Genomic DNA, 19,548 nt, shown 5'->3' on the forward strand with positions numbered 1-19,548 from the left:
TAGTTTGATGTATGCCCATCTATTTTTTATTTATTTATTTTTGCCTTTGCAGCCTGAACTTTTGGTGTGATAACCAAAATCATTAAGACCAATGTCAAGAGACTTTTCTCCTATCTTTTCTTCTAGGAGTTTTATCATATCAGGTCTTATATTTAGGTCTTTTATACATTTTGAGTTGGTTTTTGTGGATGGTGTAAGATACATGTCCAGTTTCATTCTTTTGCATGTGGATATACCATTTCTCCAGCACTATTTATTGAAGAGACTATCCTTTCTCTATTGTGTCTTGGTTCTCTCTAACTTTTGAAGGGTAATTTCCCAGAATTATCTCAAAACTTTAAATATTTTATTCAAACTTTCATGATTTCTGAGGAGAAGTTGAATGTAATTCTCATCATTGCTCCAAGTGAGGGTTTTCCACCTCCTGGCTGCTTTCAGGCATTTTTTTTTTTTTTTTTTTAGATGGGATTTCTCTCTTGTCGCCCAGGCTGGAGTGCAGTGGCATGATCTCGGCTCACTGCAACCTCCGCCTCCCGGATTCAAGTGATTCTCCTGCCTCAGCCTCCTGAGTAGCTGGGACTACAGATGCCTGCCACCACTCCTGGCTAAAGTTTGTATTTTTTTGGTAGAGACAGAGGTTTCACCATGTTGGCCAGGCTAGTCTCAAACTCCTGACCTCAGGTGATCCACCAGCCTCGGCCTCCCAAAGTGCTGGGATTACAGGCGTGAGCCACTGTGCCCGGACAGGCTTTTTTCTTTATCTCTGATTGTCTATGGTTTGAAAGTGTTATGCGTTGGTGTACTTTTTTGGCATTTATCCTGCTTGGTGCTCTCTAAGCTTCCTGTATCTGCGATCTGGTGTCTGACATTGATTTGGGAAAATTCTCTCAGTGTTTCAAATATTACTTCTACTTCTTTTTTTCTTTCTTTCCCTAGTATTCCCATTTTGCACATATTATATCTTTGCTAGTTGCTCCACAATTATCGGAGATTCCAGGGTTTTTTGGTCATTTTTCTGTTTTTCAGTTTTGGAAGTTTCTATTGAGCTAGTCTCAATCTCAGACATTCATTCCTCAGTCATGTTGTGTCCAAAATTCATGGGTTCTTGGTCTCACTGACTTCAAGAATGAAGCCCCGGACCCTCGCGGTGAGTGTTACAGTTCTTAAAGATGGTGTGTCCGGAGTTTGTTCCTTCTGACGTTCGGATGTGTTTGGAGTTTTTTCCTTCTGGTGGGTTTGTGGTCTCGCTGGCTTCAGGAGTGAAGCTGCAGACCTTCGCGATGAGTGTTACAGCTCTTAAGGTGGTGCGTCCGGAGTTGTTCATTCCTCCCAGTGGGTTCGTGGTCTCGCTGGCCTCAGGAGTGAAGCTGCAGATCTTCGAGGTGAGTGTTTACAGCTCATAAAGGCAGTGCAGACCCAAAGAGTGAGCAGCAGCAAGATTTATTGCAAAGAACAAAAGAACAAAGCTTTCACAGCATGGAAGAGGACCTAAGCAGGTTACCTTTGCTGGCTCAGGCAGCCTGCGTTTATTCCCTTATCTGACCCCACCCACATCCTGCTGATTGGCCCATTTTACAGAGAGCTGATTGGTCCATTTTACAGAGAGCTAATTGATCCATTTTGACAGGGTGCTGATTGGTGCATTTACAATCCTCTAGCTAGACATAAAAGTTCTCCAAGTCGTCACCAGATTAACTAGACACAGAGCACCGACTGGTGCGTTTACAAACCTTGAGCTAGACACAGGATGCTGATTGGTGCATTTACAAACCTTGAGCTAGACACAGAGTGCTGATTGGTGTATTTACAATCCTTTAGCTAGACACAAAAGTTCTTCAAGTCCCCACTAGATTAGCTAGACACAGAGCACTGATTGGTGCATTTACAAACCTTATGCTAGACAGAGTGCTGATTGGTGCATCTACAATCCTCCAGCTAGACATAAAAGTTCTCCAAGTCCCCACCCAACTCAGGAGCCCAGCTGGCTTCCCCTAGTGGATCCTGCATGGGGGCAGCAGGTGGAGCTGCCCGCCAGTCCTGCGCGGCCTGCCTGCACTCCTCAGCCCTTGGGCGGTTGATGCGACCTGGCGCCACAGAGCAGGGGGCGACGCCCATCTGGGAGGTTTGGGCCACGAGGCAGCCGACTGCGGAGGGGCTCGGGCATGGCAGGCTGCAGGTCCCGAGCCATGCCCCGCAGGGAGGTGGCTGAGGCCCAGGGAGAATTCAAGCGTGGCAAGAGTGGGCTGGCACTGCTGGGGGACCCAGCGCCCCCTCTGCAGCTGCTGGCCCAGGTGCTAAGCCCCTCACTGCTCAGGGCTGGTGGCACCTGCCAGCCACTCCAAGTGCGGGGGCCCGCTGAGGCGGCACCCACTGGGAACTCGCACTGGCCTGCAAGCACTGCACACAGCCCTTGGTTCTGGCCTGTGCCTCTCCCTCCACACCTCCCTGCAAGCAGAGGGAGCCGGCTCCGGCCTTGGCCAGCCTAGAGAGGGGCTCCTATAGTGCAGTGGCGGGCTGAAGGGCTCCTCAAGCGTGGCCAGAGCAGATGCCGAGGCCGAGGAGGGGCTGAGAACGAGTGAGGGCCGCCAGCATGTTGTCACCTCTCAATGTGTCTGGCCTGCCCATAAGCTCATCACAGGCGTTCATGATCTGTTATGATGTTTTGATGTCTAGTATTTCTTTTGGGTTCTTAGAATTTCCATCTCTCTACTTACATTGGCCATCTGTTATTGTGTGCTGTCTACTTTATCCATAAGAGCCATTAGCATATTAATCCTAGTTGTTTTATTTATTTATTTATTTTTGAGAGGGAGTCTCGCTCTGTCACCCAGGCTGGAGGGCAGCGGTGCCGTCTCGGCTCGCTGCAACCTTCGCCTCCCGGGTTCAAGTGATTCTCCCACCTCAGCCTCCCGAGTAGCTGGCACTACAGGCACCTGCCATCATGTCTGACTAAATTTTGTATTTTGAGATGGGGTTTCACCATGTTGGCCAGGCTGGTCTTGAACTCCTCACTTCAGGTGATCCGCCTGCCTTGGCCTCCCAAAGTGCTGGGATTACAGGCATGAGCCACTGTGCCCGGCCAATCCTAGTTGTTTTAAATCCTAGTATGATAATTCCAACATCCCTGCCATGTCTGAGTCTGGTTCTGATGTTTGCTATGTCTTCTCAAACTTTTTTTTAACGTTTTAGAAAGTCTTGTAATTTTTTCCTGGTAGCTGGATGCAATGTGCTGGGTAAAAGGAACTGCAGTCAATAGGCCTTTGGTAATGTGGTGGTAAGGAGAGGAAGTGTTGCATAGTTCTATGAGCAGGCCTCAGTCTTTTAGTTAGCCTGTGTTTTTTGGACTATGAATTCCACAAGTGCTTCTCAGGCCCCTGTCCCACCTTGGTGAGACTGGATGGCTAGAGTGGGCTGGAGATGGGTGTTTTCCTTCTCCCACATGCAAATCTAAAGGGGGTTGGAGTTGGATATTTCTTCCTCCAGGTCAGTTAAGCTCTGATAAAACCCCAGCTGGTTAGGATCTCCTTAACTACTTTCCCCTGAGGGCAGTACTTGTTAAGAAGAGCAAAGTGCTCTGGCATATTTCAAAGTGGCTCCTAATTGTCTCCTTCTGCCAGAAGCATGAGGGTTTTTCTCTCCAGTATTCACTGTGAGTTCCCAGTAGAGCACCAGGAGGTAAACTCACAAAAGTGGGTTCTCTACGCCTGGAGTTTTTATTTCTCAGACTTGTACACTCTAAGTCTCCTGCAGTTTGTCAATTGCAGTTCAGGTTTTCCTACCCCAGCATGGGTTCACACAGATGGTTTAGTTCATGGATTTCTTTTCTGGTAAGTTGTGATTCTCTGTATTTGCCTGTTAGTCTCTCCAATGGGGGCAGGGGTTTGTCCTGTGACCTTTCTTGTGTTACAGATCTAAGAAAAATAGTTGATTTTTCAGTTTGTTCAGCTTTTTACTTGTTAGGATGGCACGATGACCTCCAAGCTTCTTATATGCTAGGCTGGAAACCATCCCTTTGATTTTTAAAATATAATTTTATCGCATTTATACTCCTTTAAACCTATATTAACTTTAGTTGTTTCTAATGCTATAAAAAGGATATTATGCTCTATGTAGTTTTCTGGGATTCATGTTTTCGCTCTTTATATTGCTAAGATTCATTCATATTTTTGTTTTTTTGAGACAAGGTCTCACTTTGTCATCCAGGCTAGAGTACAGTGGCATGATCATGGCTCACTGCAGCCTTGACCTCCTGGGCACAAGTACTTCTTCCACCTCAGCCTTTTGAGAAGCTTGTGCCACCCTATCTGGCCACTTTTAAAAATTTCTTATAGAGATAGGCTCTCACTATGTTGCTCAGGCTGGCCTCAAACTCTTCAGTTTAATTGGGTCTCATTTGTCAATTTTTGGTTTTGTTGCAATTGCTTTTCATGTCTTTGTCATGAAATCTTTGCTAGGTCCCATGTCCAGAATAGTATTTCCTAGGTTATCTTCCAGGGTTTTTGTACTTGAGGGTTTTACATTTCAGTTTTTTAAATCCATCTTGGATTGTTTTTTTTTGTATATCGTGTAAGGAAGGGGTCCAGTTTCAATCTTCTGCATATGGCTAACCAGTTATTCCAGCATTATTTAATAGGGAGTCTTTTCCCTATTGCTTGTTTTTGTCAGCTTTGTCAAAGATCAGATGGTTGTAGGTGTGCAGCCTTATGTCTGGGCTCTATTCGGTTCCATTGGTCTGTGTGTCTGCTTTTGTACGAGTACCATGCTGTTTTGGTTACTGTAGCCTTGTAGTATAGTTTGAAGTCAGGTAATGTGATGCCTCCAGCTTTGTTTAGGATTGCCTTGGCTATTTAGGCTCTTTTTTGGTTCCATCTAAATTTTAAAGTAGTTTCTTTTCCTCATTCTCTGAAGAATATCATTGCTAGTTTGATAGGAATACCATTGAATGTATTTCCATTTGTTTGTGTCATCTCTGATTTATTTGAGCAGCGTTTCAGAAGTCTCATTGTAGAGATCTTTCACCTCCCTGATGAGATGGTATTTTATTCTTTTTGTGGCTAATGCGAGTGGGATCATGTTCTTGATTTGGCTCTCATCTTGGATGCTGTTAGTATATAGGAATGCTACTGATTCTTGTACATTGATTTTTTTTATCCTGAAACTTTGCTGAAGTTGTTAATTAGATCAAGAAGCTTTTGGGCAGGCACTGTAGAATTTTCTAGTTATAGAATCATATTGTCTGCAAACAGGGAAAATTCAACTTCCTCTTATTTGAATGCTTTTTATTTCTTTCTCTTGCCTGGTTGTTCTGGCCAGGACTTCCAGTACCATGTTGAATTGAAGTGATGAGAGAGACCATCCTTGTTTTGTTCTGGTTTTCAAGGGGAATGCTTCCAGCTTTCCCCATTCAGTATGATGTTGGCTATGGGTTTGTCATAGATGGCTCTGTGTTAGTTCGTTTCCATGCTGCTGATAAAGACATGCCTGAGACTGGGCAGAAAAAGAGGTTTAATTGCACTTACAGTTCCACATGGCTGGGGAGGCCTCAGAATCATGGATGGAGGTGAAAGGCACTTCTTGCATGGCAGCAGCAAGAGAAAATGAGGAAGAAGCAGAAGCAGAACCCCCTCATAAACCCATTAGATCTTGTGAGACTTATTCACTATCACAAGAATAGCAAGGGAAAGACCAGCCCCAAGATTAAATTACCTCCCCCTGGGTCCCTCCCACAACATGTGGGAATTCTGGAAGATAAAATTCAAGTTGAGATTTTGGTGGTGACACAGCCAAACCATATCAGGCTCTTATTATTTTGTAGTACATTCCTTCAATCCCCAGTTTGTTGAGGGTTTTTAACATGAAGGGATGTTGAATTTTATCAAAAGCCTTTCTCCATCTATTGAGATAATCATGTGGTTTTTGTTTTTAGTTCTGTTTGTGTGATGAATCACATTTATTGATTTGTGTGAGTTGAACCAACTTGCATCCCAGAGATAAAGTCCACTTGATCATCATGGTGGATTAGCTTTTTCATGTGCTGCTGGATTCAGTTTGCTAGTATTTTGTTGACAATTTTTACATCTACATTCATCAAGGATCTTGGCCTGAAGCTTTTTTTTTTTCTGTGTGTGTGTATGTCTTTCAGGTTTTGGTATCAGGGTGATGCTGGCATCACAGAATGAGTTAGGGAGGAGTCCCTCCACCTCAAGTTTTAGAAATAGTTTCAGTAGGAATAGTATCAGCTCTTCTTTATACAGCTGGTAGAATTTAGCTTTGAATCCACCTGGTCCTGTGCATTTTTTGGTTGGTAGGCTTATTATTGATTCAATTTCAGAATTTGTTATTGATCTGTTCAGGAATTCAATTTCTTCCTGATTCACTCTTGGGAAGATTGTATGTGTCCAGGATTTATCTGTTTCTTCTAGATTTTCTAGTTTGTGTTCATAGAGCTGTTCATAGGAATCGGAGTTTTTTGTATTTCTATGGGGTTAGTGGTAATGCCCACGTTTTCATGTCTAGTTGTGTTTATTTGGATCTTCTCTCTTGTTTTCTGTATTAGTCTAGCTAACATCTCTTATTAATTTTTTTCAAAGAACCAACCCTGGATTTGTTGATCTTTTGGGTTTTTTTTTTTTTTTCACATCTCCATTTTCTTCATTTCAGCTCTGATTTTGGTTATTTCTTCTGCTAGCTTTGGGTTCAGTTTGCTCTTGGTTCTCTAGTTCCTCTAGTTGTGATAATAGATTGTTAATTTGAGATATTTCTAAGTTTTTGATGTGGGTGTTTAGTGCTATAAACCTCCCTCTTAACACTGCTTTAGCTGTATCCCAGAGATTCTGGTATGTTATATCTTTGTTCTCATTAGTTTCAAAGATCTTCTTAATTTCTGCCTTAATTTCATTATTTACCCAAAAGTCATTCAGGAGCAGGTTGTTTAATTTCCATGTAATTGTTTGGTTTTGAGTGATCAGTATTGATTTCTATTTTTATTGCATCATGGTATGAGAGTGTGGTTGGTGTGATTTTAGTTTTTTAATTTGAGGATTATTTATGTCTGGTTGATTTTAGAGTATGTGCCATGTGGTGATGAAAATAATGTATATTCTATTGCTTTTGGCTGGAGAGTTCTATGTATGTCTATTAGATCCATTTGGTCCAGTGTCTAGTTCAAGTCCGGAATATTTTTGTTTTCTGCTTCAATGATCTGTCTAATACTGGCAGTGGGTCATTGAAGTCTCCTACTATTATTGCGTGGCTATCTAAATCTCTTCATAGGTCTCTGGGAACTTGCTTAGTGAATCTGGGCGCTGCTGTTTTGGGTGCATACCTATTTAGGATAGTTAGATGTTCTTGTTGATGTGAGCCTGTTACTATTATGTAATGTCCTTTGTCTTTTTTTTATCTTTGTTGGTTTAAAGTCTGTTTTGTCTAAAATTAGAATAGCAAGACCTCCTTTTTTTCTCATTTCTGTTGGCTTGCTATATTTTCCTTCATGCCTTTACTTTGAGCCTATAGGTGTCATTGCATGTGAGATAGGTCTCTTGAAGACAGCATACTATTAGGTTGGATTAAGTTGGGTCTTAATCCAACTTGCCACTCTCTGCCTTTTAATTGGGGGCATTTAGCCTGTTTACATTCAAGATTAGTATTCATATGTGCGAATTTCATCCTGTCATCGTGTTGTTAACTTAACCCTGGTTATTATGCAGACTTGTTTGTGTGGTTGCTGGTGTCACTGGTTTATGTACTTCAGTGTGTTTTTGTGGTAGCCAGTAATGGTCTTTCCTTTCTATATGTAGCAGTCTTTTAAGGACCGTCTCTCTTAAGGCAGGTCTGGTAATAATGAATTTCCTTAGCACTTGCTTGTCTGAAAGGGACCTTATTTCTCCTTTATGAAGATTCATTTAACTGAATATGAAATTCTTGGTTGGAAATTCTTTAAGAATGCTGAATAATATAGGCCTCCAATCTCTTCTGGTTTGTAGGGTTTCTGCTGAAACATCTGCTGTTAGCCTGGTGGGTTCCCTTTGTACATGACCTGCCCCTTTTCACTAGCTGCCTTTAACATTTTTTTTCTTTCATTTTGACCTGGGAGGATCTGATGACTATGTGTCTTGGGGATGGCCATCTTGTGTAGTATTTCCCAGGGGTTCTCTACGTTTCCTGAATTTGAACGTTGGCCTCTCTAGCCAGGTTGGGGAAACTTTCATGGATGACATCCTGAAAAATATTTTCCAAGTTGTTTGTTTGCTTTCTTTCTCTTTCAGGAATGCCAATGAGTCATAGATTGGTCTCTGTACATAATTCCATATTTCTCTAGGGTTTTGGGTTTTGTTAATTCTTCTTCTTTGTTTTTTCTTTATTTTTGTCTGACTGGGTTATTTGGGAGAAGTGGTCTTTGAGATTCTTTCCTCAGCATGGTTGATTCTGCTGTTAATACTTGGGATTGTATTCTGAAATTCCTAAAGTGAGTTTTTCAGCTCTATCAGATCAGTTTGGTTCTTTTTTAAAATGACCATTTCTTCTTTCATCTCCTGTATCATTTTATTGTATTACTTAGAATCCTTGGATTTGATTTTGACTCTCTCTCTGAATCTTGATGATCTTCATTCCTATCCATACTCTGGGTTTTTTTTTTCTGCCATTTCAGCCAGTTTCAATCTGGGTAAGAACCATTGCTGAGGAACTGGTATGGTCATTTGGAGGTAAGAAGACACTCTGGTTTTTTGAGTTGCCAGAGTTCTTGCACTGATTCTTTCTCATCTTTATGGGCTGATGTTCTTTGAATCCTTGAAGTTGCTGTCCTTTGAATGGGTGTTGCGGTGGGTTTTTTTTGTGTTTTTTTTTGTTTTGTTTTGTTTTGTTTTTTTGCTTTCATCTTTGATGTCCTTGGGAGTTTGATTGTGGTATAAGAATGGTTGTATTGACTGGCATCATTTCTGGAAGATTCTAGGGGGCCAAGCCCCAGCTTAGCACTGCTGGACTGCATGCTCTAACTCTGTGGATCTGTTATCAGGCCCCTGGCGTTGTTCTCTGGCCCCTTGAGGTTAGGAACCTACTGTGCTGAAGGGGCCAATGTGTCCCTGGACTGCTGGACACAACACACTAGTGGGTAGTGCTAGCCAAAGTGCTTTGTTGGATGGTGGCAGCAAGCTCTGTGCAGTTTTGCATGTGGCACCAGCAGCAATAATGCATTGGAGTGCACATTTCTTGGCTGGTATAGGGGTGCCAGCTCTTGTGCAGGTATTCATAATAGTGGCAGCACAAGATGGAGTGGGGCTGCTGGCATTCATGTGTGCTTTCACAGTGGCAATGGTGTTGACATGGGGGTGGGCTGCTGGCTGGTGCAGACGTGCTGACCTCCATCTAGGCATTCATGAAAGTGGTGGTGCTGGGAGGTGGAGGTGCTGGTGTTTCTGTACACGTTCACACTGGCAGTGGTGTCAGTCTGGGAATGGGGTGCTGGTGGGCACGAGGCTGGTGGCCTCTGTGTGCATATTCACATTGGGTGGCAATGCAGAGCCACTGGTCTCCCTGTGTGTGTTCATGCAGATGGCAGTGGCAACGGTGGGGCAGGGGAGCCACTGGTCTCCATGCACTCATTCATGCTGGCATTGGAGGTGTGGTGGAGGGATCACAGGGTGCACTCACACTGGCAGCAGTCACACCATAAGGTGTACACATCCACCTGTGGAGAAGGGGAGGTGAGGTCTTCTCATGTGCATGCATGTTGGCAAAGTGATGCAGGGGGTGGCCATGGGTGAGTGTTCACTGGTAAAGAAAGCAACATGGGAGGCTGCAGTGGGGGAGGGGAACATGTCAGTGAGCTAGTGTATATTGGCAGGGACTGCTCTGCTGGAGCACTCTGAGGGTCAGGCACAGTCGGCCAGCATAGGAGCTATGACGTGGGCCCCTGAGAGGTACCTCAGTTGAGGTACCCCAGTTGGGCAGCCAGGCTGGGGCCCCAGAAGAGGCCAGCAGACAGGGCAGCACTCAGGTCAGACTGGCTCCATCTCATGGACAATGTTGCCGTACTCTGTTCAGGTCCAACAGTTCCTCTAAGGCAGGGTGAGCTTTAGGGCGTGGGCATTCTGGCCACGCTCCACTGCATATGTTCCCACACCAAACTCTTTGGGCTCTGCATAGGCTGGAGTCCTGCCCCTACCACCTCTCTAAGCAGCTTTCTCTGCCATTTCCAGTGTCGATTTTGGGGTCTCATGCTTCCAGGATTCCAGAAGTCTGTAATGAGAGCAAGTTGCTCCTCACCTGTTGAACTCACCCCTTCCCCAGGAGTCACTGGGTGCCAGGAACAAGACCTGGTGTGTGGTAGTCCCATGCGTGGTTCCCAGCTTCCTCCCTCTTCAGCCCCAGATCTGTGTCCTCCCTCTGTCCATTCTCAATGCCTTTGCTCTGAAGGTCTGAGAGTGTGTCAGTCTCCCCAGTGTCCCAGTCCCTTGCTAACAAATGATCCCCTGGCTACGGCTAGTCTGCCATCTTGCCCCCTGTCCCTGTTCTTTTTTTTCAATCTTTGTGGCTTTAAATTCATTAGCACCTAGGAATAAGAGTGGATCACCTTTTCCTTTTCCTAATTTTAAAGAGAATACTTTTAACATTTCCCCATTAGGATGATATGTATTCCAGATTTTTAAAATATATCTTCTGTTAGGTTAAGTAAGTTTCCTTCTACTCCTAATTTGCTAAGTTTTTCTTTAAAATCATGAATTGAATGATGGGTGTTTTTTGGTTTTTTTTGTGGGGTTTTAAAAATATTTATAGTTTATTATTTAAGCTATTAATGTGCGTTACATTTATGTATTTCTTAATTTTAAAACATCTTTACATTTCTGAGAAACTCAACTTGATAGTGGTGTATTAACTTTTTTGTTATAAGTTTAAGGGATACAAATGCAGTTTTTTTTTAAGTGGATATACTGTGTAGTGGTGAAATCTGGGCTTTTAGTGTGACCATCAACCAAGTAGTGTACATTGTACCCATTAAGCAGTTTCTCATCCCTCACTCCCCTGCAACCCTCCTGCCCTTCTCAGTCTTCAGGGACTATTATTCCATACTCTGTGTCCATGGGTACACTCTATTTAGCTCCTACTTGCAAGTGAGAACACACAGTGGTTAGCTTTCTGATTCTGAGTTGTTTCACTTAAGATAATGGCCTACCGTTCCATCCATGTTGCTGCAAAAGGCATGATTTTTATATACTGTGGGAGTTAATTTTCTAATGTCTTGTTTAGGATTTTTTAATATTTATCTTCATGAGTGAAATGGGCCTTTAATTTTCCTTTCTCATATTGTCCTTGTTTGATTTATATATCAGGATTATACTGGCCCTATACAAATAAGATGGCTGATATTCCTTTATTTTCTGCTCTCTAAAATACTTTATAAAAGATTCAGATAATCTGTTTCTTGAAAGGTTGGTGGAACTTTCCAAAGGCCTGGTGTTTACTTTCTGTGAATATTTTTAACTACAATTTCTTTAAAATACTTTCCTTATCCTTAGTTGTATCTCCTTTTTCATTTATATGATTATCTATTTGCATTTTCTCTTTTTATTATTGATCAGTCTGTTCTGAGATTTTTCTTTTCAAAGATTAATTTTCTTTTTGAGTTTGATTTCTGCTTTAATTTTTAGTATTGTAGTATCTATTTCTTAGATTTATTCTTTTTTTCTAATTTCTGTGTTGGGCACATAATTTCTAGTGGATTCTTTGCACTATTAAAATTTTAGTCCCCTGAAGTTCATGTAGATGGGTGAATCCTGAAGGATTCCAACAAGTTTTGACCCAGAAAGGATCAGCGCTGAAGACATGCTCCCTCCCTTGCTACTGCCAGCCCTTCCCACAGAGGGCCTGCCATAGGTGGTCATCTGAGGGGCAGTTTTCTCCAGGGGATGGTTTCAAAACAGGCGTTCAGTGTTCAAATGTGCTCTTGGCTTAATTATTCATATTTTTATTTATTTTACTTGTATTTGTTAGGTCAGAAAACTGTTAAGGTGTGGAACTGCTTGGACTGAGAGAGACTGTAATCCCTTATGCTTGAGATTAGGAACCTAGGTGATGGTGTTTAAGGTCACACGGCAGTTTAGGAATGGAGCTGGACCCAGGCCATGACACCTTATAGCCTGTGCACTTTTCACTCAGCCAAACACCTCCTCTACACAGGAGAGTATCATTTTATAAAGTGGCAAGTTCACCTGCATGACCCTGTTCAAATATGATTAACATACAAAGCTCCTTTTTGTAATTCCAGAAAATGCAACTGGGGGAAAGTAAAAACTGTGCAACTTGCTTGTACCACAAGTGCTTTTGTTTTGTTTTTCTCACCAGCATTTATTCAATATTTGTCTGTGCCTATTGCGTGCCAAGGATTTATCCTGCAGCATTTTAACATGAACTTAAGGCTCACTCTGAATATTTTTCTTTTTACTTTTTGACTTCAGAGTAGAATGGCTTGCAGAAAGGAAATAATGAAGACATCAGGGGTTAAATAAGCAAATGATCATTTATCTTTAACACTGTGGCAGAGACCCAATGTTGTTTCTTACAGTAAAACAGTGATAATCTTGTTTCTGAAGAAAAATAAAATCAGTACTTAAAAATGATGTATCCTGCATACCTTATTTTAAAGGAAGAATATTTATCTTAATTTTGCTGAAGTCTCTTTTGTTTCCCTTATGGGCTCTTAGTACCTTTTTTCAGAGATAGGACTTGGATTATGAATTGGTTTGTATGGAGCAGAAGTTTCTCTGAGACTCCGCGTTCTTAATAGCCCCAAGAGGTGTTGTACAAGTTCTAAACATTCTGGGTTTGAAGCCAAGTCTTGGGTGGCTGTGTTGCTTTGCAGCTGTAGTTTAAATTAGAAACATTCTAGTTTACAGAGATCTAGATTTTTTAAAAAGACCTTTATAGCATATAAAGAGAAAGTATTAGCCTCAGCTTACTTGATTCAGAATGAATTGAATGCAAAACATATTCAGATTAAAGAGACATGTACCTTTGAGAGTGTTTATAATGAGAGGCAATTAATCTCACTGTTAAGATAGAGCTTACTATGAATTTAAATTTTATGTTGATTGCTTTAAATAAACCTCACCTTCATTCTCCCCTCACTTGTCTTCAGGTGATCGGTTATGTTTGTTTATAATGTAAGTATGAAAATCCTGGTCATAACTGGTAATAGAACAACATACAGATTGCAGGCACTTCATCTGTGTTTTGATACAGTGTAAATGAGCCCATTCTCCCTACCTCCCGAGCATGACCTTGGAGGTTTGGTCCTACAGCTTGCCTTATCATACACCACCCACCCCATGCACACACAAAGTCAGGCACACACACCTCAAGAACGCTTCACCGGGCTTCAACATTGTATAGCCTTACAGCACACTAGACTTTGGATTCCATTGAAAGACTGCAAGAAAATTGTTCCACAAGATGCTAATCCAGAGAACTTAACTTTTGAGTAAATACTAGAGGTATTGATTGACATCTGCATATGGAAATTTCCAGATGCTGCATGCTGCTTTGGGACTATTGTAGCCTTTCCAAATCCTCGCTTCTCTGTCCAGATGTTCATCCTTCACTCAATACCGATTTCTTCCCATTGTGACTGTTTGCAAACTTTTGACATTGGCCCTATGGATTCTTCCCAAAGCATTTTCTCTCTCATAACTCCAAAAGACTACAATAATTTATAAAGCTCATAATATAAACAGAAAGGAAGAAAATAGTGTAAAACCCTGGTTTTATAAGCAAAAATAAAAAGGTATGAAAACAAGTACCAAAGTCTCTTAGTTCTTAGAAAAAAGATGTAGAATGAAGAAACTAGAAGACATTTTGTGTTCATAACATTGAGTTTAATCTGCAGGGTAACTGAGTTTTAAAGGTTTTGGAGTCAGGCAGATGTGGGTTCTAGTCTAAATTGTGGCTCACTTTACCAATGTGACCTTGCATCAGTTACTTCCCCTTAAAAGTCTGTTTCCTCATTTGCAAAATAAGAACAAGAATAGTAATAATACCTGCTGCTAGAGTTGTTACCAATATCAAACAGGAGAACAAATGTAAAGCTGTTGGCACAGGGCAGGGCTCATAGTGAAAGCTCAACAAATGGCAGAATTTATTATTTATTGTTATACACATTAATAAAAATTGTACAGATGGTATGACTTGGTTTTCACTTCGGGAAATCCACTTTGGGACTTAGTTTCTCTAAAATGAAAAGGTTTGTACTACACATTGCCTCCTGACATCTTTTTCTAGCTCACTGGTTACAACTTGAATAGAACTAATAAATTTATATACAGACTGAAAACTCTACATCGTCTAGACTTGTGAAGGACTAGAAGAGAGTCTCAAGTTGCAGAATGTCAGAAGGACAGTGATGTAGGTGAGGAAACAGGGATGGAACTTCTCATGATAAATGTCCCTTTTCTGAAGAGATTGAATATTAGAAACTCAGAGCCTGCCTGGTATAGGGTGAGATAAACATATATAGTGTTGCACAATTAAGCAGGACATGGAGACACTGGTTTATTAATGGATCAATTCATTTTTTGTTCAATTAATAAATGAGCAAAAAATAAGCCCAACCTGCTTCATTAAATATTTATTTTCAATGCATTTAATATCCTGCTTCATTCCATAAAATGAACATTTCAAGGTGGCTGAAAATGCTTTAGGCCAAAATGAGATTGGAAAACCCTTGCCTCATGCAGTTCTGGGAAGTTGGACATAAAATGGTGTAAGCTGAGCTCCTTATTCTGAGGAGCAAGACATTATATGGAATATGGAAAATCACTGCTTGTTTTGAAATAGCTACTGTTTCAGTTAGGGAGGAAAAGGAAAAAACGTGTAATTTTGATCACATCTAAAAATAATTAGTCTTCAAAGATAAAGTACACCTACATATTCATGATGGCGAGATTATGAAATAGGTCTTGGGGTGTGTCCTAACTGTGAACCCTGAATTGTCTTAGCAATGAATAGATAGAGGATGGCGCTAGGGTACAGGAAAATAAATACTAGGAACGCGTAATATTGTTAGCACTAAAATCCATCTGGCTCCTTCTACCAACTGTCCAAAATTTCATGTTTCTACTAGGTCTGGGGACAAGAAAAACTCTTACGACTTTGTAAATATTGATGGATTGTTTTCTCTAAGGCATTTCACATATTAGAAGGTCAGTGAACCTCAGAAATTCCTTGTCCCCTGTTACACCCAATTTATTATATAATTTTGTATGCTCTTGTATGTGAGTCTTAATTCCCAAATAATATCCACAACAATTTGTTTATATTTTTGCCTTTTCAGATTTGAAGTTGAAGATTTTTCAGGTCATAATATGATGTTGCTAATTTTGTTCCTCGTGATAATTTGTTCCCATATTTCTGTGAACCAAGATTCCGGTAAGGAAAAACTGGAAAGAATTCTTAATTTTGATTATAGAAAATAGATAATACATGAGTTTGACCTATTTAAAAGTTACAAGTTTTGTATCACTTTGTTTTGATTTTGATGGTAGTGAGATTAAGGGCGGTAAGTCAAATTCTTTGTAAGGTCACTCCATATTCCTTTGAAGATCATTTGTTTCTGGATCTTATTCCTTGTTAATAATAGATATGAGAGCTGTCATTTTGTCCTGCTTCAACCCCTTTTAGGTCTTCTGGGAGGTTGCATAAAAATTCTGTTAATATTAGGCTCAGGCCTGGAAAACTTGGAATGTCCCATCCTAATTCATTTGTGTCAAAAGGGTATCTTGGTTTAGTGTCCAGATTTGCTCCAGATTAAATTATTTGGCTGCTTATTGTGAAGAAAGTGCTTTTTCCCTGGAGAGAAAGCTTCATAGCACTGCCTTCTGTCTGTTGGCAATCTCTGTCCTGTGGACTTAAGACACTAGCACACCCTTAACCACCTCACCATCTCCTAAATAATTGGTTCTTGTCCAGAGCAACTTACATTGGCTTTTACAACTTCCTCGAGGACACTGACCTTGTAAGCAAGTTTTGTGAAGACATAAACCAGACTTTGCCCTGCAAACATCTTCCTTTGATGTATCTCTAAGCCTTGAGCTTCTCAAGTAGAAGCCATGATTTTTCCTCCATTGTTTCATGGTTCAGACGTAGTGATGGACCTTATCAGAACCTGAGTCCGCCTTATGTGCCACTCATCTACATTTCCTTTCTCCACAAAAGATGTAGGGCTTCATTCATGAATAGAAAGTCACTGGTGGTCACAAATCAAGCCACCCACGGCAGGGCTCCCCTGGCAGTCTTCACAGGGTTTCAGGCTTCTTTGGGAGGAAGGTGTTGATACACTCTCACTTATTTCTTCCCCTGAGATGCTGCTGGCTGTATAATCATGAAAAGAATCTCAGAGTGGTTAGATTTGGGTTATTTAAAAGACAAGAAATTATTTTACCCATTATGCCTCGATCAGATGGCCATAAAAGGAATGAAATAACACACAGGTCTGCCAAAGCTGGTTTCCCAGCCAGTGTAGAAAGGAAAAGATTGAAGTTATTCTAATTTGATTAGAACTTACCTAGTAACCATTTTAGATAATTGGAATCTCAGAGTGAGGAGGTACCTTAGATGTTTTCTAGTTGAATCTACTTTTTTTTTTTTTTTTTTTTTTTTTTTTTGAGACGGAGTCTCGCTCTGTCGCCCAGGCCAGACTGCGGACTGCAGTGGCGCAATCTCGGCTCACTGCAAGCTCCGCTTCCCGGGTTCACGCCATTCTCCTGCCTCAGCCTCCCGAGTAGCTGGGACTACAGGCGCCCGCCACCGCGCCCGGCTAATTTTTTGTATTTTTAGTAGAGACGGGGTTTCACCTTGTTAGCCAGGATGGTCTCGATCTCCTGACCTCATGATCCACCCGCCTCGGCCTCCCAAAGTGCTGGGATTACAGGCGTGAGCCACCGCGCCCGGCTGAATCTACTTATTTTAAAGAAGAAAAAACTAAGGCCCAAGTGTATTGAATGTCTTGACAGAGCTCATAGAGTTAGCTGAAGGTAAAGTCAGGGTGTTCATGACTTGTTCCATTATGCTGTATTTCCTTAAACATACACCACACATATACTTCCCTCCCTACCCCAGACAAGAAATGGATCTTATGCTAAGGTAGAGAGAGCTCTGAGTTCAAACCAGCAGACCATTACTAAACAACAGTTAGTGTTTGAATCCAATGATTCTATATCATGTAAAAATGTAGTACCAGATAAGTAGTGTTGAATCTAACAATGAATGAAGCTTTAAAGGTTAAGCAAAGTATTACATTCCTATATAAAACTTATATTTTTAATGGAAACTAAAACTAGAATCCCTTTTCTAGCCCAAGATACATTGGTGCCATCACATTTTGCATGTGTGAGAATAAAATTCACCAATTATAATATAATGCTCATTCATGTAATTCATCAAAAATATTAAGATATTTAAAATAACCTTGAAAAAGATTGACTATTCCATATTTTTATGATTTATAGATTTTTTTAAACTTAATGTGACTGTTTGGAATGTACAACTTATATGGTTTTAAGTTAATCAGATAAACTGTTGTGTTGCTTAAATGAGAAAGGCCATCTTTCAGATTTTACCATTAAAGTGAATTTGATGGAGTTTGAGTTTCAATTAAAATTTTTATCTAGTTGACATAGTTGAAATCAAATTCCAAAAGCCAAAAAAACTACAAGAGGAAATTATCCACAAAAGGTATAAAACCCATGATTTTTTATTTCTCTGTTTATTTCTGTTTTATTTTTCCAGTCACTATTGTTAATCACTATTTCTAATTAACCAATTCCTTGCAAAAGTTATGTTTAATTTTGTGATAAGTTCAAATGAGAAGTTGTTTAAAAGAATCAGCCCAAGATACAGCTATTTCTTTTTCTTGAGAGAATGTGCAGTTGCAGGCTATTATTTTCGGTTTATTGGGAAGGTATTTTAAAAATAAAAAGGAAAGTACTTCCCCGCCATAGAGTTGGCATTAAATATGGCAGTAAATTTTTTAAAGTTTTTGGTTCGTTCATATGTTTGTGGTTTTGCAGGCCCTGAGTATGCAGATGTTGTGTTTTTGGTGGACAGCTCTGATCGCCTGGGATCCAAGTCCTTCCCATTTGTGAAAATGTTCATCACCAAAATGATCAGCAGTCTCCCCATAGAGGCCGACAAATACCGTGTGGCCCTGGCCCAGTACAGTGATAAACTTCACAGTGAATTCCACCTGAGCACCTTCAAAGGCAGGAGCCCCATGCTGAACCACCTAAGGAAGAACTTTGGATTCATTGGCGGGTCCCTGCAGATAGGAAAGGCTCTTCAGGAGGCTCACAGGACTTATTTCTCTGCACCCGCAAATGGGAGAGACAAGAAACAGTTTCCCCCAATTCTAGTGGTCCTGGCTTCATCTGAGTCTGAGGATAATGTGGAAGAGGCATCAAAGGCCCTGCGGAAAGACGGAGTGAAAATCATCTCTGTAGGGGTGCAGAAAGCTTCTGAGGAAAACCTGAAGGCCATGGCCACGTCTCAGTTTCATTTCAACCTTCGGACAGTCAGAGACCTCAGCATGTTTTCCCAAAACATGACACACATCATCAAGGATGTAATAAAGTACAAGGAGGGAGCAGTTGATGACATCTTTGTAGAAGGTGGGCTTAGGATATGTGTATAGGAATGATGATAAAACGCTTTTGAAAAATTAAAATGGGGAGAGGATTGAAATTCTATGAATATTCCTATCCCCAAAATGGGCTGCATTTTCAGATGTTATGTACCCATCGTTTAAGAGAGTCCAGTGATTATGACCATTTTCAATTCAGTGAAGCCCAGAAGTCTTGGTTTTTCATGTTTCACTTATCTGTGTTGCCTGACATTCACAGACTTCTTAAAATTTAGGGATGCTTTCTCCCTGCCACCCAGCTGATCTCTGAGCTATTTCCCTGGGCTTTAGTTGCTATGTAGTTTTAGTACTGGTTCATTGAAAAGGTAAGTTTGCTTCTAAAGAAATTCTTGACTCTTAAAACCACATAATATAATCATAGAATGTTAGACCTAAAGGCAACTTCCAGAAGTCCAGATCCCCCTGTTTTTTTGCAAAAAAGAACTTATATATATCCTTAGAAGTGATGTGCCTTGGCCCAGGGGCCAGGCTGTGACTTAAAGTCAGAGCTAACAGGCCAGATCTCCCAATTCCCAGCCATGTAGTTTCAGCTCCAGACTGCCTTGCTTCCTGCTGCCCTGTTCTGAATTAGTTTTCCCTGTGTTCTGATCTGTGGCCAAACTTCTCTCCTGGTCTGTCCTCTTGTACTACTCTAGTAACAAGAATGGTCAAGAGTTGGTGATCATCATTCAAGTGAAGGGCAGGGGATAGCCAGTAAAAAACAATGTGTTCAAAGTGTACATGTCCAAATATGTTATATAGGAAACTCACATTATCCCTGATTAAATCAGTTTGAATGAGCTGATATATATACTTACCTATTGATAATAGAGAATGCTTTCCTTGGGGTCATCTGTGAAACTATGAGTCCTTATTACTAGCAT

The 19,548-nt window shown here is 40.9% G+C and overlaps 1 protein-coding gene across 16 annotated transcripts in view; it reads left to right on the top strand.

Moving 5' to 3' along the window:
- Positions 1-19,548, top strand: part of COL6A6 (collagen type VI alpha 6 chain) — a 160,323-nt gene that overhangs the window by 28,292 nt on the left and 112,483 nt on the right. For 8 of the 16 annotated variants that reach the window (XR_924103.3, NM_001102608.3, XM_011512424.3 and 5 more), the window contains 2 exons: positions 15,323-15,417; positions 18,057-18,653. Coding sequence is in view for 15 of the 16 variants with exons in the window: in XM_011512424.3 (XP_011510726.1) it covers positions 15,323-15,417; positions 18,057-18,653 (692 nt within the window). In the remaining variant the exon portion in view is untranslated. Of the gene's footprint in view, positions 1-3,659; positions 3,828-15,112; positions 15,192-15,322; positions 15,418-18,056; positions 18,654-19,548 lie in introns of those variants that run through there. The other 8 variants (XM_017005713.3, XM_017005711.3, XM_011512426.4 and 5 more) reach the window with 2 other exon arrangements.

Source organism: Homo sapiens, chromosome 3 (assembly GCF_000001405.40).
Source record: "Homo sapiens chromosome 3, GRCh38.p14 Primary Assembly".
Lineage (NCBI taxonomy): Eukaryota > Metazoa > Chordata > Mammalia > Primates > Hominidae > Homo > Homo sapiens.